At 43.5% G+C, this 26363-nt stretch overlaps 1 protein-coding gene across 8 annotated transcripts; it reads right to left on the bottom strand.

Moving 5' to 3' along the window:
* TUBB8B (tubulin beta 8B) lies at positions 1-26328 on the bottom strand. Of its 8 annotated transcripts, NM_001389610.1 has the most exons (7): positions 26101-26328; positions 3210-3338; positions 2516-2655; positions 1918-2026; positions 1729-1839; positions 1237-1404; positions 13-991 (listed from the first exon to the last, which is right to left on the bottom strand). In NM_001389610.1, exons 4-7 carry the CDS (start codon positions 2005-2007, stop codon positions 179-181), a joined length of 1182 nt encoding a protein of 393 aa, NP_001376539.1. In that variant the 5' UTR covers positions 2008-2026; positions 2516-2655; positions 3210-3338; positions 26101-26328; the 3' UTR covers positions 13-178. The 8 variants fall into 8 exon arrangements, with proteins under 8 accessions (XP_024306915.1, NP_001345618.1, NP_001376539.1 ...); NM_001389609.1 differs by lacking the exon at positions 1237-1404 and having other exon boundaries at positions 13-1236; XM_024451143.2 differs by having other exon boundaries at positions 2516-3338.
* Between the last annotated feature and the right edge of the window lie 35 nt (positions 26329-26363).

Raw genomic sequence — 26363 nt, forward strand, 5'->3', positions numbered from 1 at the left:
AGGCAAAACCAGATGCTGTGAGAATACTTTATTAGTCAAAACCGCATACTATAAAAATGCTTTAAAACGCAGCAGGAGATGTGAAGACACAAATTAACAAGCGTATAGTGACACATGGCTGTCAGAACACAGTAAAGAATCCACACTGCTTCCCCCCTTTACCTAGAAAAGGAGAGTTCTAGGCCACCTCCTCCTCGGCATACTCCTCATCCTCCTCCTCCTCGGCCGTGGCATCCTGATATTGCTGATATTCAGACACCAGGTCGTTCATGTTGCTCTCGGCCTCGGTGAATTCCATCTCATCCATGCCCTCGCCCGTGTACCAGTGGAGGAAGGCCTTGCGCCTGAACATTGCTGTAAACTGCTCTGAGACACATGTGAAGAGTTCCTGGATGGCCGCATTATTCCCAATGAAGGTGGCTGACATTTTTAGCCCCCGGGGTGGGATGTCACAGACGGCTGTTTTTACGTTGTCGGGGAACCAGTCAGCAAAGTAGCTGCTGTTCTTATCTTGAATGTTGAACATTTGTTCATCCACCTCCCTCATGGGCATGCGACCCCTGAAAATGGCAGCCACCGTTAGGTAGCAGCCGTGACGGGGGTCACAGGCAGCCATCATGTTCTTAGCATCAAACATCTGCTGGGTGAGCTCAGCCACAGTCAAGGCCCGGTACTGCTGGCTGCCCCGGCTGGTCAGTGGGGCAAAGCCGGGCATGAAGAAATGCAGCCGGGGAAACGGGACCATGTTCACGGCCAGCTTCCGCAGGTCAGCATTCAGCTGGCCTGGGAAGCGCAGGCATGTGGTGACCCCACTCATGGTAGCAGACACCAGGTGGTTCAGGTCACCATAGGTGGGTGTGGGCAGTTTTAGGGTCCTGGAACATATGTCATATAGCGCTTCGTTATCTATGCAGAAGGTCTCATCCGCGTTTTCTATGAGCTGGTGGACTGAGAGGGTGGCGTTGTAGGGCTCCACCACGGTGTCCGACACCTTGGGCGAGGGCAGGATGCTGAATGTGTTTATGATCCTGTCTGGGTACTCCTCCCGGATCTTACTAATGAGAAGGGTACCCATCCCAGACCCAGTCCCCCCACCCAGGGAGTGGGTCAGCTGGAAACCCTGCAGGCAGTCACAGCTCTCAGCCTCCTTTCTGACAACGTCCATCACTGACTCCGTCAGCTCCGCGCCTTCTGTGTAGCGTCCCTTGGCCCAGTTGTTTCCGGCCCCACACTGACCTGTAAGACAGCACAGCCGGTCACTCGACGGCCAGGTATACGGTCATCAGTGGTCACCACCATAATGCAGAAAGGGCCAAGTGTCACATGTGAGGTGAAAGCACCATTCGCCCTGCAGGTGGAGCAAATGAAACTCCCTCCTCCAGAGTTACAGGACAGCAGCTTCCCCTGTTAGAAATTAAGACAGGAGTCAAACCTGAGACGGGTTCACAGACCTCGCTGCAGGTGGCTCCTGCCCATTCTCAGGAAAGGCAGTAGCCACGGCCCCAGCTCAGCTCCCGGCAGGGACATCAGTAGCTCCTCACCTTGAGGAGACACCGGGGCCTTCCTCCCGAAGCCCATTTAGGAGGCAGATGAAGCGACTCGACTCGGCGGATAGGAGGGTGTTCAGGGGCCCTGGCGCCACAGTTCCCACAGGATGACCTTGGGCACTCCTGGATTTTGAGCTGCCCTGGCTAAGGAGCCGCACCCCAGTCCTCGCCCGCAGCTCACCGGAAATGAAGTTGTCTGGCCTGAAGACCTGCCCGAAGGGCCCCGAGTGCACAGAGTCCATGGTGCCCGGCTCCAGATCCACGAGCACAGCGCGGGGCACGTACCTGCCACCTGCGTGGGGCGGGAGGGCATGAGCGAGGGGAGGGCCGCGTTCCCAGGAGGGCGGTGGGAGAAGGACGGGGGTCGCACCGCTGGCCTCGTGGTGGTGCACGTTGATGCGCTCCAGCTGCAGGTGGCTGTCCCCGTGGTAGGTGCCAGCGGAGTCGATGGCATGTTCATCAGAGATCACCTCCCAGAACTGCAAGAGACGGGAGGGGCCAGACAGGCCGGGGCTGAGTCACGGAGGCGCCCCAGCCGCTCTCCCACCCCCACCCGCACCCCCATCCCTAGGCCGCCCTGTCCCTGGGGTCCACCCCAGCCGCCTCGCCAGCCACCCGGTTCCACCGTCCCCGGCAGGGAGCCCAGGGGCCGCAATGCAGGGGCACCGCTCCCGCCACTGCCAACATCTTCCCCAGCCACCCGGCAGGCCCGGGCTGGGCCCTCAGAGCCCTGGCTGCCAACCTTGGCGCCGATCTGGTTCCCGCACTGCCCGGTCTGCGTGAGCACGATTTCCCTCATGGCCAAGGCAGGATTAGGGCGGCAGCAGAAGCGCGAGAAGGAGGAGCAGACGCGCAGCGACCCAGCCCGCCCTCCGCTAACGCTTAAATAGCCCCGCGTCCACCTCCCTCAGCCTCCGATTGGGCTCCCAGAATAAGCAACAGCTTTACTTCCACACAGGTGCACCCACCTGTGAATCCCTTGGCGTTGAACGTCTGTTGGAGAACTCAGGTGTCCTTGCTATGGTCCCTTCCACGTTGGGGAAAGCTGCTCAGCTGGAGAACTTCTTCCCACGTCTTTAGTAAGACTAGATCCCTAGCTGAGCTGAAACTGAATTTTCCTCCCATGTGGGAGGGGAAGACGCTTGTTTCCATATGCACGGAGTGCCTTTGCACCTGTCCTAGATTGATATTTTTGTAATGGAGATTCATTTCATCTATTAGGAGATCTGTGGTTAGGAAAGGCCTTCCATATGTTAACTCAACAGGACTTAATTATACGTTTTACTTTGGAGCAGTTCAAACCCGCAGTAAGCTATGGGTGTTGGAGATAGTCAGGCGTCTGATTTAGCTGGAGTCTTCTGTAGAGTAGGATTAGCCCTTTCACCTTTCCAGAGGACTGCGGTCTCCACACAGAGTGAAGGTAATATTGGATTCTTAAAGCTGAGGATAGGTGTTGGGTTACGCCTGCTGTGAAAGATGGGCCATTGTCACTTTGCAGGCTTTTAGATTACCGAAACTGAGGAGTTATTTCTTCTGGTAAACATTTTTCAGATGGGGTGGGGAATGCCTCGATCTAACCAGTGAAGGTATCAGTAAGCATTAGCAAATATTTGAATCTCCTGCAGAAAGGTATCGGAGTACATTAGAGTTGCCAGTTCTCACCTGGATAGGTTCCTCAATTTTGGACAGGTTTAACTGGAGAAGGAGAAAATTGCTGGCCGTTTGGGTCATGTCAGGCACAGAGCTCACAGGGCTGAGTCACCTGTTTTAGTGTCTTGAAAAGATTTACCCCTATAAACAAATGAGACATTAACAGAAACAAAGAATCCCTTCTAGGGTGAAAAGAATCATGAAAGTGCTGAGTTATACTCCTGTGATTGGTACTTGGCATTAGTAATTTATTACCATCATTCAGCCTGAGGGGCCCTGGACTGAAATGCAATCCCTGGCCCATTTTTGTTCTTCTTCAGGGTATTCCGGCCCAGTTCTATGTATGCTGACCAGCACGCCCACAAGCTTCATTGGCCCTTTCAGTGCAGGGGCCTTGGCTGTGGCATCTACAAGGGCATTTCCTTTTACATGGTCAGTCTCTCTTTTGATGTCCTCTGCAATTAATTATAGTCACTTTTTGGCAGCAAAGCAGCATTCTAACAAGCTCAAAATCTGAATGATGTATGGAAAAGCCCTTTGGGGTCAGGAGTCCCCACCCATTCCAAATTGCAGCATAAGCATGAAGCACTAAAAAATCATACTTGGAATCAGTGTAAATGTTAACTTTTAAATCCTTTCCAACTGCAGGGGCCTAGTAAGTTCAATTAACTCAGCTTTTTGAGCTGAGGTCGAGGCCAGCAAGGCTTGTGCCTTGATTATCTTGTGCTAATAATAGCATATCTAGCCCTCCTGTTTTCCTGATGCATAAAACAACTTGCATCTGTTAACCACTCTGCCTTGGGATGGTCAAGGGGCTCATCTCTCTTAAGTCTGGCCTGCTAGAATCAATTTGTTTCATAACCTGTGACATGCTTTGGCTGTGTCCCCAGTCAAATCTTATCTTGAATTATAGCTCCTATAATTCCTATATATCGTGGGAGGGGCCCAGTGGGAGGTAATTGAATCAGGGGATGGGTCTTTCCCATGCTGCTCTCGTGACAGTGAATAAGCCTCATGAGATCTGATGGTTTATTTATTAATTTATTTTTGAGACAGAGTCTTGCTCTGTTGCTCAGGCTGGAGTGCATTATCATGATCTTGGCTCACTGCAACCTCTGATTCCCGGGTTCAAGCGATTCTCCTGTCTCAGCCTCCCGAGTAGCTGGGATTACAGGCACCCACCACCATGCCTGTCTAATTTTTGTACTTTTAGTATAGACGGAGTTTCACCATGTTGGCCAGGCTGGCCTCGATTTCCTCACCTCAGGTCATCCACTGCCTTGGACTCCCAAAGTGCTGGGATTACAGCTGATGGTTTTATAAAGGGGAGTTTCCCTACACAAGCTCTTTTGCCTGCTGCCATGTAAGAGATGTGACTTTGTTCCTCACCTGCCTTCTGCCATGAGTGTGAGGCCTCTCCGACCATGTGCAACTGTGAGTCAATTAAACCTCTTTTTTTATAAATTACCCAGCCTCAGATATGTCTTTATTAGCAGCATGAGAGCAGACTAATACAACCTGTATGCCAGAAAGGCTGGGAGCACCTGTGGACTCTGACAGGCAAGTAGATGGGTTTATGGTTTGCCAGGCTTTAAGGGTTATGTCTGGAGGGTCGGTCTAGCAATAAGGCCTCACACTTTCATAAATATTCTCCTATTATCCACTGCTGCCCTTTAGCTTCTAGGACCACCTTCCCTTGGTGTGGGGTCAAAAACCTGTAGGTGCTGTTCTAATGTTAGTTTATTAGCTTTGCCAACTAGAAAAGTGGTAGCAGCAATAGCTCTAAGACATCAAGGCTAAAAGTCAGAGGATTGCTGAGGAAAGTAAAAGCTAAACTGTTTGGGGCCTCTTTCCTGGGGCAGCCTCCAGGCTACTGCAAAACGGAGGCGGTGGGCAGAAAGGCAACAATATGCAGAGCACTCAGGTGAGGGACAAAGAGCACAAGGTGGACAGTCCAAAAAGAGAAAGTGGCAAACATCTTGTTTAGCCAAATCCATTCTTCTCAATATTCCCCAGGGCCTCTAACCCTGTGGGCTTGGCCTCTAATCTGAGTATGACACCCCCAGGTCTCTAACTTTGGGCTGAGTCTCTCACCCTAATATTATACCCTAGGGCCTCTCACTTAAGTAATAGTGGGTAATCATTCTTGCCAACCTGAATGGCTTCGCAACTCTAAAAGACAGCCCACTTGCCAGCTGATTGATTCTATGTGGATTGTTTTCCTTGGAGTGGGGGTCTTGTCTTGGTGTCCCTTCATGGCATTGCTGAAAGATGTTGCTGGAAAAGAGGGTCCTGATACAGACCACAAAGTAGGATTCTTAGATCTTGTGCAGGAAAAAATTTGAGGTGAGTCAGAGAGCAAAGTGAACGAAGCAAGTTTATTAGAAATGACTCCATTACAGAGTTGGACATCCTCAGAAAACAAGAGCAGGAATGCATTGTCTTTTGTTAGTGTCTCTACTCTAACTATAAAGAGAAAGAGTTATAATTAAACTTGGAAGGTGCAGATGTACTCATTGAAGTCGGGGCTATTCGTTTTAACAATGACAATTAACCCGTTGACCTAAGCTAGCTCATTAATATTATCTTTAAGAAAAAATGCTGCACTCCTAGGACATTTATACATTTTTCAGGCTTGGTGGAAGATGTCTTGTATGGCCATAAATATTCTGCAGTTGTAATTTGTGGCCAGTAAAAAAATGTGGCTATTTTCAGACTATAGGTATTAACCTTCTAGATGCCTTGTGAGTACCTAGCTACTCATATTAAGATAGAGAATTCTAGTCATGTTTATTAAACTAGAAGCTTGATAACCATGAGTTCCTCTAACACAGCAAGTCTACTCCTCAAGGAGAAAATGTATTTCTCAGGAATTTTGTGCATTTTATTTGATGGCATTTGGTATGTTTACCATAATGGCAGAAAAGAGTGAAATTAGTCCTCAAAGATTTCTCAAGATTGGATATAAAGTAACAAATGATTATAGTTAATATGCAAGTTGACACAGTTGATATGCAAAAGAAATTTTGTCTGGAACACAATGAGATTTTTATTTATTAATTATTATCATTATCGTTTTGAGACAGAGTCTTGCTCTATTGCCCAGGCTGGAGTGTGGGGCACCATCTTGGTTCACTGAAACCTCTGCCTCCCGGGTTCAAGTGATTCTCCTGCCTCAGCCTCCCAAGTAGCTGGGATTACAGGCATGAATCACCACACCCAGCTAATTTTTGTATCTTTAGTAGAAATGGGGTTTCATTCTGTTGGCCAGGCTGGTCTCAAACCCCTGACAACAAGTGATCTGCCCACCTTGGCCTCCCAAATTGTTGGGATTACAAGCATGAGCTACTGCTCCCAGCCACAATGAGGCTTTTAAATAATTCTGATTTCCTGCTGCTGAGCAGGGAGCCGAGCAAATTCAACAGTTCATGGGCCTAAAGTAGGAGAAGACTGAGGACAAACTCTAGAACACATGTGATTAAATTAATTACAATGGAAACCAAATCAAATTTAATAAGGCCATACCTCTTAGTTTCAAGATGTTTCCCCTCATTTTGAAATGTGGTGTTATTCAGTGGAAAAGAAAAATAGTGTTTATCTCCAGAGTAAAGAACAGGGTTCCCTGCAGGGACTGACTGACTGAGAGCTATGGCTCAGGATTAAAAATTCTCTTTTTTCCACTTACAAACTAAAAATTAATTTCTAAGCCCCTATTGACTAAATGGACCCCTCTTCTTGGATAAGGACATTCCAAAGTTAACCTGAAAAGCTACTTCAAGCCATGGGTCACACCTGCCTCATTAGACTCTCCTCCCTTTGGTTTTAATTGTAATTTTTAATTAATTTTTATGGGTACATAGTTAGTGTATATATTTATGGGGGTACATGACATACTTTGATACAGGCATGTAACGAGTAATACATAATAAAAAACAGGGTATCCGTCCCCTCAAGCATTTATAGCTTGTGTTATAAACAATCCAATTATACTATTTTAGTTTTTATAAAATGTATAATTAAATTTTTTTTACCATAATCACCCTGTTGTGCTATCAAATACTGTCTTATTCATTCTTTCTAACAATTTTTTGTACCCATTTCACATCCCCACTAACCCCGTTCCCCCACTGCCCTTCCCAGCCTCTGGTAACCACCCTTATACTCTCTATGACATCAATTATTTCAAATTTTAGCACCCACAAATAAGTGAGGACATGTGACATTTTTCTTTCTGTGCCTGACTTATTTCACTTAACATAAAGACTTTCAGTTCCATTTCTGTTACTGCAAATGACAGACTCTCATTCTTTCTTATAGCTGAATAGTACTTCATTGTGTATATGTACCACATTTTCTCTATCCAGTCATCTGTTGATGGACATTTAGGTTTCTTCCAAATCTTGGCTATTAGCAACATTTGTTTTTGACTGACTTCTGGATAAAAGCCACCTTAACTGAGGTGAAATGATATCTCATTTTGGGTTTGATTTGCATTTCTATGATGATCAGTAATGTGGAGCACCTTTTCACTTGCCTATTTGCCATTTGTATGTCTTCTTTTCATAAATGTCCATTTAAATTTTTGTCCACTCTTTAATTGATTATATTTTTTTCTATAGAATGTTTTGAACTCAATATATTGTAGTGTATTAGTCTGTTTCTGCACTGCTATAAAAAAACTGAGACTGGGTTATTTATCTATTTATGTATTGAGATGAAGTCTTGCTCTGTCGCCCAGGCTGGAGTGCACTGGTATGATCTCGGTTCACTGCAACCTCCACCTCCTGGGTTCAAGCAATTCTCTGCCTCAGCCTCTTGAGTAGCCGGGATTACAGGCACCTGACACCATGCCCAGCTAAGTTTTGTATTTTTAGTGGAGACGGGGTTTCACCATCTTGGCCAGGCTGGTCTTGAACTCCTGACCTCGTGATCCACCCGCCACAGCCTCCCAGAGTGCTGGGATTACAGGCATGTGCCACTGTGCCTGGCGAGACTGGGTAATTTATAAAGGAAATAGGTTTAACTGAGTCACAGTTCCACATGGCTGGGGAGGCCTCAGGAAACTTACAATCATGGCAGAGGGGAAGCAGGCACCTCTTCCATGATGGCAGGCGAGACAGCATGTATGTGAAGCAAAGGGGGAAGAGCCCCTTATAAAACCATCAGATCTCATGAGAACTCACTCATTATCAGAAGAACAGCCTGGGGGAAACCAACCCCATGATCCAATCACCTTCTACCAAGTCTCTCCCTCAATACCTGGGGATTACAATTCAATATGAGATTTGGGTGGGGACACAAAGCCTAACCATATCATGTAGCTATTAATTGCTTTTCAGATGGGTAATTTACAAATATTTTCTTCCATTCTGTGGGTTTTCTCTTCACTTTATTGTTTCCTTCACTTTAAAAAAGCTTTCTGACTTGCTGTAATTCCATTTGTCCATGTTTGCTTTGGTTGTCTGTGCTTATGGGGCATTATTTAAGAAATTTTTGCCCAAACCAATGCCCTAAAGAGTTTCCCCAGTGTTTTCTTGTAAAATTTTGATAGTTTGAGGTGTTAGGTTTAAGTCCTTAATTCATTTTAATTTGATTTTTGTATTTTGCAAGAAATAGTGTTGTAGTTTCATTCTTCTGCCTATGGCTTGCCAGTTTTCCCAGCCCTATTTATTACAGAAACTGTCTTGTTTTTTGTTGTATGTTATTGACACTTTTGTTGAAAATTAGTTTAGTTGTATGAGTTTGTTTCTAAGTTCTCTATTTCATTCCATTTGTCTTTATGTCTTTTTATTCTAGTGTCATGCTGTTTTAATTACTATAGCTTGATAGTACAATTTAAAACCATGTAATGGGATTCCTCCAGTTTTGGTTTATATACTCAGAATAGCTTTGACTATTATGGTGTTTTGTGGTTCCATATTTCAGATTTTTTTTCTATTTCTGTGAGGAATGTCATTGTTATTTTGATAGAGATGGCATGAAATGTATAGATTGCTTTGGATTGTATGGACATTTTTTAAAATACTGATTCTTCCAATATGTGAACATAGAAATAACTTTCCATTTTTTTGTCTTCTCTTTCATTTCTTTTATCGGTGTTTTACATTTTTAATTGTTGAGAACTTTTATTTCTTTGGTAAATTCCCACACATTTTGTTTTATTTGTGGCTATTGCAAATAGGGTTACTTTTTTGAATTCTTTTGCAGTTTGTTGACTGTTGGCATATAGAAATCCTACTGATTTGTATATGTTAATTTTGTATTCTGCAAATTTACTCAAGTTATTACTTCTAATAGTTTTTTGATGGAAATATTACACCATTCTCACATTGCTGTAAAAACAATTGGTGACTGGTTAATTTATAAAGGAAATAGGTTTAATTGGCTCATGGTTCTACAGGCTGTACAGAAAGCATAGCACTGGCTTCTGCTTCTGGTCAAGCCTCTGACAACTGACAATCAAGGTGAAAAATAAATCTGGTGCTTGCACATCACATGGTAAGTGTGAGGGCAGGGGGGAAGTGCTACACACTTGTAGATAACCAGCTCTCATGAAAACTTACTATTGTGAGAATGGCACCAAAGGAAATGATGCCAAACTGTTCATGGAAATCCTGCCCTCATGATTCAATCATCTCCCGACTAGGCCCACTTCCAACATTGAGGATTACATTTTAATATAAGATTTTGGTGGGAACACACACCTAAACTATATCATTTTGCCCCTGGCCATTCCAAATCTCACATCCTTCTCACATTTCAAAATACAATCATGACATCCCAATAATCCCCAAAGTCTTCACTCATTTCAGCCTTAACTCAAAAGTCAAAAGTCTCATCTAAGACAAAGCTAGTTTATTCTTCCTATAAGCTTGTAAAATAAAAAACAAATTAAGTGCTTCCAAGATACAAATGGGGCATAGGCATTGGGTAAATACTCCTATTCTAAAAGGAATAAATCAGCTAAAAAAAAGAGGCCACAGGACCCATACAAGTCTGAAGCCCAGAAGGGGAGTTATTGAATTTTAAGGCTCCAAAATAATTATTTTTGACTCTACGTCCCATTTCCAGGGCACACTAATGCCTTGGGACGTTTAGACCTTGTGGCTTTGCATGGTTCAGCCCCCACAGCTGCTCTCATGGGCTGGTATTGCGTGCCACTGGCTGGTTTTGTGTGCTTCTGGCTTTTGCAGGTGCAAAGTGCAAGCTGTAGCTAGATCTACCATTCTGGGATCTGTAGGACAGTGATCCTCTCCTCACAGATCTACTAGGCCATGCCCCAGTGGGGAACCCACATGGGGATTGTAACCCTACATTTCTTCACTGCATTGTTTTAGTAGAGGTTCTCCATGAGGGCTCCACCCCTGCAGCATGCTTCTGCCTGCACACCCTAGCTTTTTTATACATTATTTGAAGTAAAGGTGGAGGCTCCCAAGTCTCAACTCTTGCATTTTGTACACTCACAGGCCTAACACCATATGAAAGCTACCAAGGCTTATGGCTTGCACCCTCTGAAGCAGTGACTGGAGTTGTAACTGGGCCAATTTGTGCTACACCTGGAGCTGGAGCAGTGGCCAGGATGCAGGGAGCCATGTTCTAAGGCTACCCAAGGCAGCAGTTCCTGGGCCTGATCCCAGAAACTATTCTCTTCTTTTAGGCCTCAGGGTCTGTGATGGGGGGCTGCCTTTTAGATTTCTAAAATGCCTTCAATTCCTCTTCCCCATTGTCTTGGCTATCAACACTTGCTTTTTTTTTTTTTTAAGTTATACAAATATCTCTAACAAGTGATTGCTCCACAGGCTGCTCGAGTTCCTCTCTTGTAAAAGCTTTTTATTTTTCTGCCACATGACTAGGCTGCAAAGTTTTTAAGCTTTTACGCTATGCTTCCCTTGCAAGTAAAAATAGATTACAACTTACTTTTTTTTGCTCCAACATGTGAGCATAGGTTGTTAGAAGCAGCCAGGCCACATCTTCAATGCTTTAGTGCTTAGATATTTTTTCAACAGAAACCCTAAATCATCACTTTCAAATTCAAACTTTTATATAACCCTAGGGCATAACAGAAATTCAGCCAACCACTTTGCTAAGACAACATGAATGACCTTTGCTTCGATCCTAATAAGTTTCTAATTTTCATCTGAGACCTCCTCAGCTCAGCCTTCACCGTCCAGATCACTATCAGCATTTTCGTCAAAGCCATTCAAAGTTAAGAAAATCTCAACTTTCCCTCATTTTTCTGTCTTCTTCTGAATCCTACAAACTCTTCCAACCTCTGCCTGTTTACCCAATTACAAAGCTGATTCCACATTTTCAGGTATTCATATAACAATTTTCCACTCCTTTGTGCCAATTTTCTGTATTAAGCTTTTTTCCCATCACTATAAATACCTGAGACTGGGTAATTTATTTTTTAAAAAGGAGGTTTAAGTGGCTCATGATTCTACAGGCTGTAGAGAAGACACAGCACTGGTATGCACTTCTGGGAAGGCCTCTGGAAGTTTACAGTCATGGCAAAAGTTGAAGCAGAATCTTGCACATCATAGGGCAAAAAGCAGGAGCAAAAAAACAGAGGGGCAAGTTGTTACACACTTTTAAATAACCAGGTCTTATGGGAACTCACTCACTATCATGAAGATAGTACCAAGTGGGATGGTGCTAAGCCATTTATGAGTAATCCACCCCAATGGTTAAATCACCTTTCACCTGGCCCACCTCCAACATTGGGAATTACATTTGGGAGGGGACACACATTAAAACCCTATCAGAGGAGTCTTTACGTTTTTCCAAATATAAGATTATATCACTGGCAAAAACAATAATTTGACTTCTTTTCCAATTGGGATGCCTTTTATTGCTTTCTCTTGTCTGATTGCTCCAGATAGGAATTTCAGAATTATGTTGAATTACAGCGGTAAAAGTGGATATTCTTGTCATCTTCCAGATTTTAGAGGAAAGGCTTTTAGTTTTTCCCCACTTAGTATGATACTAGCTGGGGGTCTGTCATATATGACTTTTATTATGTTGAGATATGTTCATTCCATACCAGTTTTCAAAGGGTTTATTATTAAAGAATATTTAATTTTATCAAATAATTTTTTAGCATAATGGAAATGATTATATGGATTTTGTCCTTCATTCTTTTTTTTTTTTTTTGAGATGACGTCTTCCTCTGTCACCCAGGCTGGAGTGCAATGGCATGATCTCAGCTCACTGCAACCTCTGCCTCCCGGGTTCAAGTGATTCTCCTGCCTCAGCCTTCCAAGTAACTGGGATTACAGGTGCCCACCACTCCACCTGGCTAATTTTTGTATTTTTAGTAGAGATGGGGTTTTGCCATGTTGGCCAGGCTGGTTTTGAACTCCTGAACTCAGGAGATCCACCTATCTCGGCTTCCAAAAGTGCTGGGATTACAGGCGTGAGCCACTGCACCTGGCCCCTTCATTCTATTTATATGATATATCACATTGACTGATTTGCGTGTTGAACCATCCTTGTATCTCTGGGATAAATTCCACTTGGTCATTATGAATTACCTATTTATGTATTGTTTAATTGAGTTTGCTAGGTTTTTTGCAAATTTTTGCATCAATATTCTCAAATATGGGCCCGTAGTTTGCTTTTTAAATGTGTCTTTGTCTTGTTTTGATATCAGTGTAATACTAGCCTCAAAGAATGAGTTTGGAAATGTTCTTTCCTTCTCTATTTTTCAGTCTGGTCCTACAGACATTTTTTTATTATGGCTTTAATTTTGTTACTCGTTATTGGTCTGTTCAGGTTTTGGATTTTTTCCTAGTTCACTCTTGGTAAGTTGAGTGTGTCTAAGAATTAATTTCCTCTAGGTTTTCTAATTTGTTGGCATACAATTACTTATAGTAGCCACTAATGATCCTTTGATTTTCTGAAACTTGTAATGTCTCCTTTTTCACCTTTGATTTTATTAATTTGTATCTTCTCTGTTTTTTAGCTAGCTGTCTAAATATTTGTTAATTGTTTTACTTTTCAAAAAACCAACTTTTTGTTTCATTGATCTTTTGCACTGTTTTCTTCATTCTATTTCTGCTCTAATTTTTATTATTTCTTTTCTTCTAATTTTGAGTTTTGTTTGGCCTTTTTATTCTAGTGAATTAAGATGTATTGTTAGGTTATTTATTTGCAGCTTTTCTGATTTTTATATAGGCACTTACAGTTATAAATTTTCCTTTTATAATAGTACCTCTTTTACCATATTCCACAGGTTTTGCTATGCTATGTTTCTATTATTGTTTGTTTCAAGAAATTTTTCCATTTTCTTTTTAACATTTTTATTGACCTACTGATCATTAAAGAGCATACTGTTTAATGTCCAAGTGTTTGTATAGTTTCTGAAATTCATTTTTTAATTGATTTCTAGTTTGTTCCATTGTGGTCAGAGAAAATGCTTGATATTACTTCAATTTTTTTAATGTTTTTAGACTTGTTACATAATATATGGTCTATCCTTGAAAATAACCCATGTGCAGAGAAGAACAATGTGTATTCTGCAGCTGTTGAATGAAATTTTCTGTAAATATCTATTAGGTTCATTTGTTATACAGTGCAGATTAAGTCTGATGTTTCTTTGTTGATTTTCTGTCTGGAAGGTCTATCCAATGACTAAAGTAGGGTGTTGAAGTGTCCAGCCATTATTGTATTGATATCTCTTTCTTTAGCTCTTATAGTATTTGCTTCATTTATCTAGGTGCTTTAGTGTTGAGTGCATATATATTTCTTATTATATCCTCTTGAAGAATTGATCTCTTTATTATTATATAATGACCTTCTTAATATCTTCCTACAGTCTTTTGTTGAAATCTATTTTTGTATGGTATAAGTAAAGCTATTTCTGCTCTTTTTTGGTTTCTATCGGCATGGAATAACTTTTTCCATCATTTTATTTTCAGTCTAAATGTATCTTTACAGGTAGAGTATTTTTTTTGTAGGTCACAGATTATTGTCTTGCTTCTCTATCCATTCATCCACTATTTGTCTTTTGATTGGAGTATTTAGTTCATGTACATTCAATGTTATTATTGATAAGCACTTACTCCTGCCATTTTGTTACTTGTTTTCTGATTGATTTTTGTCCTCTCATTGTTCTTTTCTTTCTTCCTGTCTTCCTTTTAGTGAAGGTGATTTATATTTTAATATTATCTAATTTATTGCTTTTTACTTTTTGTACATCTGTGGTACGCTTTTTGATTTAAAATTACCATGAGGCTTGAATATAATATAACACATCATTTTAGACTGTGGACAATTTAACATTGATTGCATAAACAAAGAAACAAGCAAAGCAACTAATAAAAACTCTACACTTTAACTCCATTGCCATTCTTTTAAACTTTTTGTTGTTTCTCTTCCTTCCCTATTTTACTGTCTATGTCTTGGAAATATGTTGTAGTTATTTTTTATTGGCTTATTGTTTACTCTTTCTATTTGAGATTTTTGCACACCATAATTACCATGTTATAATATTCTGTGTTTTTCCATGTGCTATTACTACTGAGTTCTGTACCTTCAGATGACTTCTTATTGCTTACTCACTTTTTTCTTTCAGGCTCAGAACTCCCTTTTGCATTTCTTGTAGGACAGGTCTGGTGTTAATGAAATACCTCAGTTTTTGTTTGTCGGAAAAAGTTCTTATTTCTCTGTCAAGTTTAAAGGACTTTTTGCCAGATACATTATTCTAAAGTAAAGTCTTTTTTTTTCCTTCAGCTTTTTTAATATGTCATGCCACTCTTTCAGCCTGTAAATTTTCTCCTGAAAAGTCTGCTGTCAGATGTATTGGAGTTCCATTGAATGTTATTTGTGTCTCTTCTCTTGCTGCTTTTAGAATCATATCTTTATCCTTAACCTTTGGGTGTTCAGTTAAGTGCCTTGAGGTGGTCTTCTTTGGGTTAAATCTGCTTGATGTTCTGTAACTTTCTTGTACTTGAATGTTGATATCAAATGTTGGGGAATTGTTTTTAATATTATTTCTTTAAATAAATGTTTAATTTTTTTTTTTTTTTTGACAGAGTCTCGCTCTGTAGCCCAGGCTGGAGTGCAATGGCGTGATCTCGGCTCACTGGAAGCTCCGCCTCTTGGGTTCACGCCATTCTCCTGCCTCAGCCTCCCAAGGAGCTAGGACTACAGGCACCCACCACCACGCCCAGTTAATTTCTTTTTGTATTTTTAGTAGAAATGGTGTTTCACTGTGTTAGCCAGGATGGCCTTGATCTCTTGACCTTGTGATCCACCCGCCTCAGCCTCCCAAAGTGCTGGGATTACAGGCGTGAGCCACTGCACTGGGCCAATAAATGTTTAGCTCTTATCTCTTTTTCTACCACCTCTTTAAGGCCAATAACTCTTAGATTCCTATTTTGAGGCTATTTTTTAGATTCTGTAGGCATGCTTTATTTTTCATTCTTTTTTGTCTCCTCTGACTTTTTCTTTTCAAATAGTCTGACTTCAAGTTCACTAAATCTATCTTCTCCTTGATCAATTTTTTTAAGTAACTCTGATGCATTCTTCAGTATGATAATTGGATTTTAACTTCAGAATTTCTGCTTTATTCTTTTTATTTCAATCTCGTTAAATTTATCTGATAGAATTTTGAATTCCTTCTCTGCATTATATTGAATTTCTTTGAATTACCTCAACCAGCTATTTAGGATTTCCTGCATGAAAGGTCACATATCTCTATTTTTCCAGGATTTGCCCCTGGTGCCTTATTTAGCTTGTTTGGTGAGGTCATGTTTTCCTGGATGGCCTTGATACTTGTAGATGTTCATCCATATCTGGGCATTGAAGAGTTCAGTCTTTATTGTAGTCTTCACAGTCTGGGCTTCTTTGTGCCCATTATTTTTGGGAACATTTTCCAGGTGTTCAAAGAGACTTAGGTCCCAAGCCCAAAAGCACAGTAGCAAACATGTAGAGGTACTGCTGTGGTGGCCTTGGATTAACATTAAGAAAAATTCTCTTGATTTATCAAGTAGAGATTCTAGTTCTCTTCCCTTTCTTTCTCTGAAACCAGCAGTCTCTCTTTCTGTGCTAAGCCATGTGGAGCTGGAGTTGGGGTAATATAAGCATCCCTGAGGCCATCACCACTGAGACTGCGCTGGTTCACACTTGAAGTAGGCATAGAACTTGGTCTCACCCAAGGCCCACTGTAACGACAACTTGGCTACCATATAACTTTATTAAAAGCCCTAGCCCTAGCCCTAACCCTAACCCCAAACCCTAACCCTAGCCCTAGCCTTAGCCCTAACCCTAACCCTAACCCCTAACCCTAACCCTAACCCTAACACTAACCCTAACCCCTAACCCTAACTCTAACCCTAACCCTAGCCCTAACCCTAACCCTAGCCCTAGCCTTAGCCCTAACCGTTACGCTAACCCTAACCCCTAACCCTAACCCTAACCCCAACCCTTAACTCTTAACCATGACCCCTAACCACTGACCCCAACCCTAGCCCTAACCCTAACCCTACCCCTAACCCCAAACCCTAACCCTAGTCCTAGCCTTAGCCTTAACCCTTACCCTAACCCTAACCCCTAACCCTAACCCCAACCCTTAACTCTTAACCATGACCCCTAACCACTGACCCCAACCCTAACCCTTAACCCTAACCCTTAACCCTAAAACCCTAACCCCAACCCCAACACTAACCCCTAACCCTAACCCTCACCCTCACCCTAACCCTTAACCCTAACACTAACCATCTAACCCTTCTCCATAACTTAAACCTAACCATTACCCCAACCCTAAATCAAACTCTAAGCAAACCCTAACACACTAGGCACACAAGAACAGGTGTGCATATTCATTCTGTCATACTTATGTTTGCACTTCCTCTCACACATACACATCAACACACTCACATATGCATACCCCTACACATACTGAAATGTCATCTGATTTGTGACCCAAAGAACTCTCAACTAAGAAATAAATGAAAAGTTGCTTACACTGACTAATACTAAAGGAAGTGCTAATTAAAAGAATATTAAAATATCTTTGCCTGCCTGTGTGCAGGCTGGGCATGGTGGCTCCTGCCTATAATCGCAGCACTTTGGGAGGCAGAAGTGAGCGATCACTTGAGGCCAGAAGCTTGAGACCAGCCTGGTCAACATGGGGAAACCCCCATCTCCACTTAAAAAAAAAAAAATAGTTGGGCATGTTGGCACGTGCCTGTGTTCCCAGCTACTTGGAAGGCTGAGGCCTAAAAATCATTTGAACCCGGGAGTCGGAGGTTGCTATAAGCCAAGACTGCGCCACTGCACTCCACCCTGGGCAACAGAGCGAGAACCTGTCTCAAGAAAAGGACTGATATTTACTGTTGGCAAAGGCTACAGGCGCTCTCTTGTTAACCCTAAACCCTGACTTTGACCCAGACCTCATCAAACTCTTCCCCGCAATTCCTCAGGTATGTTTTCTTTCTGCTAATTTTTTCCCCTAAACTTCTAATACTTAATATGCTAAATAGTAAACCAACCCATACCCAATCCCATCCCCAATTTAATACTAAACCACACTAGTACTTCACATCACAAGAACAGAAAGGTACAGATCAATGTCTAGTATAATTATTCAATTAATAATGTTCAAGAGGCCAGGTGCGGTGGCTCACACCTGAAATCCCAGCACTTTGGGAGGCCAAGGCAGACAGATTACCTGAGGTCAGGAGTTTGAGACCCGTCTTGCCAACATGGTGAAACCCTGTCTCTACTAAAAATACAAAAATTAGCCAGGTGTGGTGGCAGGAGCCTGTAATCCTAGCTACTCAGGTGGCTGAGGCAGGAGAATAGCTTGAACCTGGGAGCCAGAGGTTGCAGTGAGCTGAGATCATGCCATTGCACTCCAGCATGGGTGACAAGAGTGAGACTCTGTCTCAAAAAAATTTAAAAAAAAAATGCTCAAGAAAATAATTGTAATTTCATACTAGCACGTATTTTGAGGATTACACAACATGATCACTACATCCTTTTCTCAGAAAATCAAGCTGGTTTGGCATACTAAAGCCATCACTGCAAATAAACATCAAATAAACAGAATAAAGAAGGAACCCACATACTAATTTCAATAGATGCAGGAAGTACTTTAAACAAAGTCAACACCATTTCATCATAAAAACACCCAACAAACCAGGGATAGGAATTTTCTAAACACCACAATCGGACTTCAGCACCATCTCCATTGTCAGGGCCCAGTGCTTTACTCCTAAGATCAGGACCAAGGCACCAATGCTCATTTTCATCATTGTATTCAACACTGTATGGGAAGTTCCATCCACAACAAATAGGAGAGAAAAGGAAGTAAAGAGAACTTATATGTGTTTGGAAGCAGTAAAAACGGCTACTCACAGATCACAGGAGCTATCTTATGTGCAGAAATATCATGACAAACCCCCAAAACGTTATTAAAACTAGTAAACTACAACACAAAATTACAACACAAAATGTCGATACACAGTAATCTGCTATATTTCCAGACACTAGCAACAAACAACATGAGAATGTAATTATGAAAACCATTCCAGACGGGGGGTGGTGGCTTACACCTGTAATACCAGCACTTTGAGATGCTGAGGTGGGAAGATCTTTTGAACCCAGGAGTTTCAGGCCAGTCCGGCCAACACAGGAAAACTCTCTCTCTACAAATAACTTAAAAATTAGCTAGGTGTGATGGTGCATATCTGTAGTCCTAGTTACTCAGGTGACAGAGGAGAGAGGATTAATTGAGCCCAGGAGGTTTAGGCTGCAATAAGCCACGTTCGCACCACTGCACTCCAACCTGACCAACAGGGCAAAACCATGCCTTGAAAAAGAAAGAAAAAGAAATTACATTTTAAAAAATCAACAGGCTGGACATGGTAGCTGACACCTGTAATCCCAATGCTTTGGGAGGACAAGAGAGGAGGATCACTTGAGAACAGGAGTTTGAGGCCAGCTTGGGCAGGACAGCAAGACCCTACCTGTACAAAAAATCAAAAAATTAGCCAGATGTGGTGGTGCACACCTGTAGTCCCAGCTACTTGGAGGCTGAGGCGGGAGGATCACTTGAGCCCCGGAGATAGAGGCTGAAGTGAGCCATGATTGTGCCACAGCACTCCAGCCTGGGAGACAAGAGTGAGACCCTGTCTCAAAAAAATAAAAATAAAGCAATTGCTCATAGAAATATGGGTTTATTTCTGAACTCAAAATTCAGTTCTATTGATTTATTCAAATGATTGTACCAGAATCATGTTGATTTTATTACTGTTGCTTTGTAGTAAGATTTGAAATTGGGAAATGTGAGCCTGAGTTGTTGTTGTTGTTGTTTTGACACTATTTTGGCTATTCTGCATCCCTTGAAATTTCATATAAATGACAGGATCAGCCTGTTGATTTCTGCCAAAAGGACGTGGGGATTGTAACAGGATCCACAAAGAATCTGTAGGTGGCTTTGTGTAGTACTGCCACCTTAAGAATTATTAAGTCTTCTAGTTCATGAATATGAGGCATCTTTAAATTTATGTAAGCTTTCGTGAATTTACTTCAGCAATGTTTTGAAATTTTCCATGTACAAGTTATTTTCTTGTTTTTTTTGTTTTTTTTTTTTTTCCAGAAACGGAGTCTCACTCTGTCACCCAGGGTGGAGTGCAGTGGCAAGATCTCGGCTCACTGCAACCTCTGCCTCCCGGGTTCAAGCAATTCTCCTGCCTCAGCCTCCCAAGTAGCTAGGATTACATGCACATGCCACCATGCCCAGCTAATGTTTTGTATTTTTAGTACAGACGGGGTTTCACCGTGTTAGCCAGGATGGTATCGATCTCCTGATCTCATGGATCCACCCGCCTTGGCCTCCCAAAGTGCTGGGATTACAGGCGTGAGCCACCATGCCCAGCCTCATGTACAAGTCTTGTACCTTGGTTAAATTTATTCCAAAGAATATTATTACTGTTGATTGTTTTTTGAGAGAGTCTCACACTGTCACCCAGGCTGGAATGCAGTGCCACAATCCTAGCTCTTCAGCATCAATCTCCTGGGCTCAAAAGATCCTCCCACCTCAGTCTCTAGAGTAACTGGAACTACATATGTGTGCAAGCACAACCAGTTAACTTTTTAATATTTTTGTAGGGACGGTGTCTGGCTATGGTGCCCAGCTTTCATTCTAAAATTTTAAAAAATTCTAAAATTTTAGCCATGAATCAGGCATAATTACTGTGATGGTTAATTTTAGGTGTCAACTTTACTAGATTAAGGGATACACAGAGAGCTGTTAAAGCACTATGTGTGGGTATGTCTGTGAAGGTGTTTTCAGAAGAGGTATCATACTGGTATAACATATCACGGCATATCGTAATACTGATATGACACCCACAAGACTGCTGTGACACCCAGAAGACTGATGTGAAGCCCACGAGATTCATGACACTCCTAAGACTCATATGACACCCATAATACTGATACGACACCTGTAAGGCTGATATGACACTCGTAAGACTGATGGGACACCTGCAATACTGATATGATGCACACAATACAGATATGACACCCGAAATACTGATATGACACCCACAATACTGCTATGACACCCCTAAGACTCACGTGACACCCTCAATACTGATATTGCAGCCGCAATACTGATACAGCATCCAGACTCTTACCGGGGTGCTTGGTACACAGCTTACACTGACCTGAATTTGGACTGGGTTTGGCCTCTATAGTGAAGTTTGATGTCGTCTCTGCTTTATTGCCATGGTATTACTGTGGTTGTTTGTAATTTATTTTACAGTAATTTCATACTTCTAGGAATCTTGCAATAGCAGTGTAAAGTGTAACTTATCCCTTCTCCTAGATTCCTCAGCAGTTACAGCAACTCCACACAAAACACTCCAGTGTATTTTACCAAAGCAAAGACAGCCTCCCAGCTAACCACCACGTAACTCCCAAATCAGGAAATGCAAGGTCTCTACCTGACAATCCAATCCACAGACCCATTTCACTTCACTGCCTGCCCCAACTGGGAGAAAGGGTCTCTTTCCATTTGGATTGGGTTTTCCTTTTTCTGGAATGTTCCTGAGCTGTCCCTCAGTTTCACAACGTTGGCAGATAACTCCCAGCTGGGTCTGCCCCGTGTTTCCTCCTGAGCAGATGCAGACCCTGCGTTCCCAGGGAAAACACCTCAGCCCAATGCTTGCTCTCCTCAGTGCAACCCACCAGAAAGCACAATCCACCCGCCCACAGCTGGTGATCTCAACTGTAAAATGGCAAAATTCTCATTTTCAAACCCAAGGTTCACAATGTCACTCTCTGATTCAACTTTTACAATGGATTCCCACTGGCCTTAGAACAAGGACCACAGGACTGACCATGACCTCCACACACTGTGTGCTCCTTCCTGCATGCTGCCCTTTCCAAGGCATTCAACCCCAGTGGCCTGCAGTCTCGTATGCTCTCTCTTACGGGACACAGCAGCCTCCTGGGTGTCTCGAGTATTTAATGCATGTTCCCTCAAGCCATTCACCCAATGTCCACCCTTAGCAAATTGTCTAAGACATTGTCCAGCAAAATCCTTAAAGTCACTGCAGGTGTGGTATCTAACAGTAGTAAAGTTAATAATGTGGTTTTTCTAAGAACAAAACATAATTATTTCTTGGATAATCTGCAAGAATCACCCGCAATTTGTAGATCAAGGAAATAATAGTTTAATGGAACCAAAGTCCATGTATGAGATAATTAGGAAAGAAAAACAAAATCTCAGTGTTGAACAAAAGGCAAATGGCACAACTAATTACTGAAATTTAATAAGAACACACTGGGCCGGGCATGGTGGCTCATGCCTGTAATCCCAGCACTTTGCGGGGGTCTGAGGCCAGCCTGGGCAAGATGGCAAAACCTCATCTCTACAAAAAAAAACAAAAATTAGCTGAGCACGGTTGTATATACCTGTAGTCCCAGCTACTCGGGAGGCTGAAGCGGGAGGATGGCTTGAGCCCGGGAGGATGCAGTGAGCCGAGATGGTGCCAGAGGACTCCAGCCTGGGCAATCGGGCCAGACCTTAGAAACACTCTCCTCCTGACTCTTCAGGGAGCCAGACAGAGAATTCTCTCTCTTCTGCTGCCTCCTAAATAAAAGCTTAAAAACACCTAAATAAAAGCTTTGTCTGGGAAACTTGCTCATCCTCATGTCAATTTCTATTACTGGAGAGTCAAGAAACTCTGGTCAGTAACAAATACCACTGACAGCTCGTTCCTGCAAAAGGTGTTGCATTAAGCAGGAATTATTTTAAAATAATTAAAGCTTGTCATTGGGTCATAAGAAATTGTTTAATATAACAATTCCCTCAATTGAAAACAAGATAAACTAAGAAGTATATTTTTAAAATATTATTGATGGAAACAAATAGCAGAAACACATAGGATTAAGAATTCTGTTGAAAACTAAAAGGAGATAAATTAGAAGTCAAATAAGAGAAGCTTATTGGCCAGGCACAGTGGCTCATGCCTGTAATCACAGTACTTTGGGAGGCCGAGGCGGGCGGATCAGCTGAGGTCAGGAGTTTGAGAACGGCATGGCCAACATGGCGAAACCCAGGCTCTACTAAAAATACAATAATCAGCTGGGCATGGTGGTGCAGGCCTGTAATCCCAGCTACTCAAGAGGCTGAGGACGAATTGCTTGAACACAGGAGGTGGAGGCTGCAGTCAGCCGAGATCTCCACTGCGCCACTGCACTCCAGCTTGGGAGACAGAGCAAAACCCTGTCTCAAAAAAATAAAAAATAAAAGAAAGGAGAAACTTATTGAATCAAACTGGAAACTGAGAGAAAATGGGTGATTTCCTAGTAAAAATACACATTAACAAAATGGACTCTAAAATAAGGAAAATTTAAATATACTGATTACCATAGAAAAGCTTGGAGTGACCCTTAGAGATCCCCATTAAAAAAGGACCCCAGGGACAGGGCATGGTGGCTCATGCCTGTAATCCCAACACTTTGGGAGGACAAGGCGGGCAGATCACTTGAGGTAAGGAGTTTGAGACCAGCCTTGCCAACATGGTGAAACCCCACCTCTACTAAAAACACACAAAAAATTACCCAGGCATCATGGCGCACACTTGTAGTCCCAGCTACTTCGGGGCTGAGGAAGGAGAATCGCTTGAGTCCAGGAAGGGGAGGTTGCAGTGAGCGGAGATCGCGCCACTACACCCTAGCCTGAGCAACAGAGTGAGACTGCATCTCAAAAAAGAAAAAGAAAAAAGAAAAATACTGCAGGGCCGGGCGCAGTAGTTCACACCTGTAATCCCCAGCACTTTGGGGAGGCTGAGGTGGGGGGATCACCTGAGGTCTGGAGTTCAAGACAAGCCTGACCAATATGGTGAAACCCCATCTCTACTAAAAATACAAAATTAGCCACATGCCTGTAATCCCAGCTACTTGGGAGGCTGAGGCAGGAGAATCGTTTGAACCCAGGAGTCAGAGGTTGCAGTGAGCCGAGATCTCACCATTGCACTCCAGCCTCGGAAAAAAGAGTGAAAATCTGTCTCAAAAAAAAAAAGTGGGGGAGATCTTCGGCTGGGTGCAGTGGCTCATGCCTGTAATCCCAGCACTTTGGGAGGCTGACGTGTAAGAATCACTTGAGCCCAGGAGTTCAAGACAAACCTGAGCGACGTAAAGATCCTGCTTAAATTAGCAGTGCATGGTGGCTGGTGCCTATAGTCCAAGCTACTTGGGAGGCTGAGGCAGGAGTATTGCTGGAGCCCGGGAGGTTGAGGCTGCAGTGAGCCACGATCACACCACTGCACTCCAGCCTGGGTGACAGAGCAAGACCTTCTCTCTTAAAAAAAAAAAAATCAATCAATAAAGATGTAAAGGCTGGGTACAGTGGCTCACACCTATAATCCCAATAATTTGGGAGGCAAAGGCAGGTGGATCACTTGAGGTCAGGAGTTAGAGATCAGCCTGACCAACATGGTGAAATCCCATCTCTACTAAAAATACAAAATTAGCCAGGCATTCTGGTGCACACCTGTATTCCCAGCTACTCAGGAGGCTGAGGTAGGAGAGCTTCTTGAACCCAGGAGGCAGAGGTTGCAGCGAGCGAAGATTGGGACATTGCACTTTAGCCTGGGCAACAGGAGCTAAAATCCGTATCAAAAACAAACAAAAAAAAATTTAAAAAAAAAAAAAAAAAAAAAAAAAAGCAGCCTGGCATGGTGGTTCAGGCCTGCCTGCAATCCCAGCACTTTGGAAGGCCAAGGCGGGTGGATCACTTGAGGTCGGGAGTTCGAGACCAGCCTGGCCAACATGGTGAAACCCCACCTCTATTAAAAATACAAAATTAGCCCGGTGTGGTGATGCAAGCCTTTAATCCCAGCTACTCAGGAGGCTGATGCAGGAGAAGTGCCTGAACCCGGGAGGCGGAGGTTGCAGTGAGCTGAGATCGCGCCACTGCAGTCCAGCCTGGGCAACAAAGTAAGACTCCATGTCAAAAAAAGAAAAGAGGCTGGGCTCAGTGGCTCACGCGTGTAATCCCAACACTTTGGGAGGCCAAGGCGGGTGGATCACGAGGTCAGAAGTGCAAGACCAGCCTGGCCAAATTGGTGAAACCCCATCTCTACTAAAAATACAAAAAAATTAGCTGGGCGTTGTGGCAGGCGCCTGTAATCCCAGCTCTTGGGGAGGCTGAGACAGAGCATTGCTTCAACCTGGGAGGTGGAGGTTACAGCAAGCTGAGATCACGCCACTGCACTCCAGCCTGGGAGACAGAGCGAGACTCCATCTCAAAAAAAAAAAAAAAAAAAAAAGGAAAAAAAGATAAGAAAAGACACCACAGGGCCATACGGGTTTACAGCTCAGTATTAAGTAACCTTAACGAAATCTGATTTTATTTAAAATGGTCAAGGCCAAGGAAAAAAAAAGATTAGTGACTTTCTTCAATTAATTTTATGGTATCATGTCAAAGCTTGATATAGTTAATACATTTCAACTAACTTAGGATGAGAATGTTTATAAAACAGACGTCATTTTATGTACCATTACAAATACACTGTAAATTAAACAGACTTTCTCGACAAAAGAAAAACTGTTGTTGACGAGTTCACTTCCATTAGACGCACACAATGGTTTTTTTGGTTTTGTTTTCATTTGTTTGTGTTTTTTGAGACAAGGTCTCGCTCTGTTGCCCAGGGCTTGAGTGCAGTGGCATGACCATGATAATGTGCCTACTTTTCCATTTTCCTGTGTTGTTTCCACTATGTTAACAAATGAGCCTGAAAACACGGAGCACTGACCAGGCGACGTGGCTCACGCCTGTAATCCCAGCACTTTGGGAGGCCGAGGTGGGTGGATCACCTGATGAGGTTGGGAGTTCGAGACCAGCCTGACCAACATGGAGAAACCCCGTCTCTACTAAAAATACAAAATTAGCCGGGCGTGGTGGTGCATGCCTGTAATCCCAGCTACTCGAGAGGCTGAGGCAGGAGAATCGCTTGAACCCAGGAGGCGGAGGTTGCAGTGAGCCGAGATCGCGCCATTGCACTCCAACCTGGGAAACGAGCGAAAGTCCGTCTCGAAAGAAACAAAACAAAACAAAAAATGAGCACTGATCCGGGGGTGCCTGTTTCCTCGACCTCAGGCTGTGGCGCCTGCCAGTCCCCAACATCCCCACCGCCCGACGGCGTCTCCGCGTTCCTCCCCCTCTCCCGGTACCAGGGTCTCTCCCCGTACCAGGGTCTCTCCCCAGAAACAAACTCGCATTCGTAACCGGCATCTTGGCCTTGCGCTAGGGGTGACTCGCCCAAGCCTCCATGAAGGGACGCTTGCACAAAGTGAAGCCCAGGTACAAAGAGCCCGACGGGAAACGCGGCCGCGCTCGCTCCGCTGCACTCGCAGCGCGGGCAGGAAGCCTTTTCCTCACCTTCGCCTCGGTGGCCCCAGGTGTCCCGGAGCTGCAGCAGCGTCTCCCTGTCCTCACAGCGGACGCGGCCCCAGGTGTCCCCAGGTGTCCCAAGCCCCGGCCCCTCCTGGGTGGGTCCTGAGGAGAGGAAGCTCCGTCCTCACAGTGGACCCCCCGTCCTCACAGTGGACCCCCCAGGACGCCGCCGTGCGGTTCGGACACGGTTCGCGCGCGCCGCCCTCCGGGTTTGGCAGGGCCGGGCGCCCCCTCGCGGCAGCTCTGGG

Source organism: Homo sapiens, chromosome 18 (genome assembly GCF_000001405.40).
Source record: "Homo sapiens chromosome 18, GRCh38.p14 Primary Assembly".
NCBI lineage: Eukaryota > Metazoa > Chordata > Mammalia > Primates > Hominidae > Homo > Homo sapiens.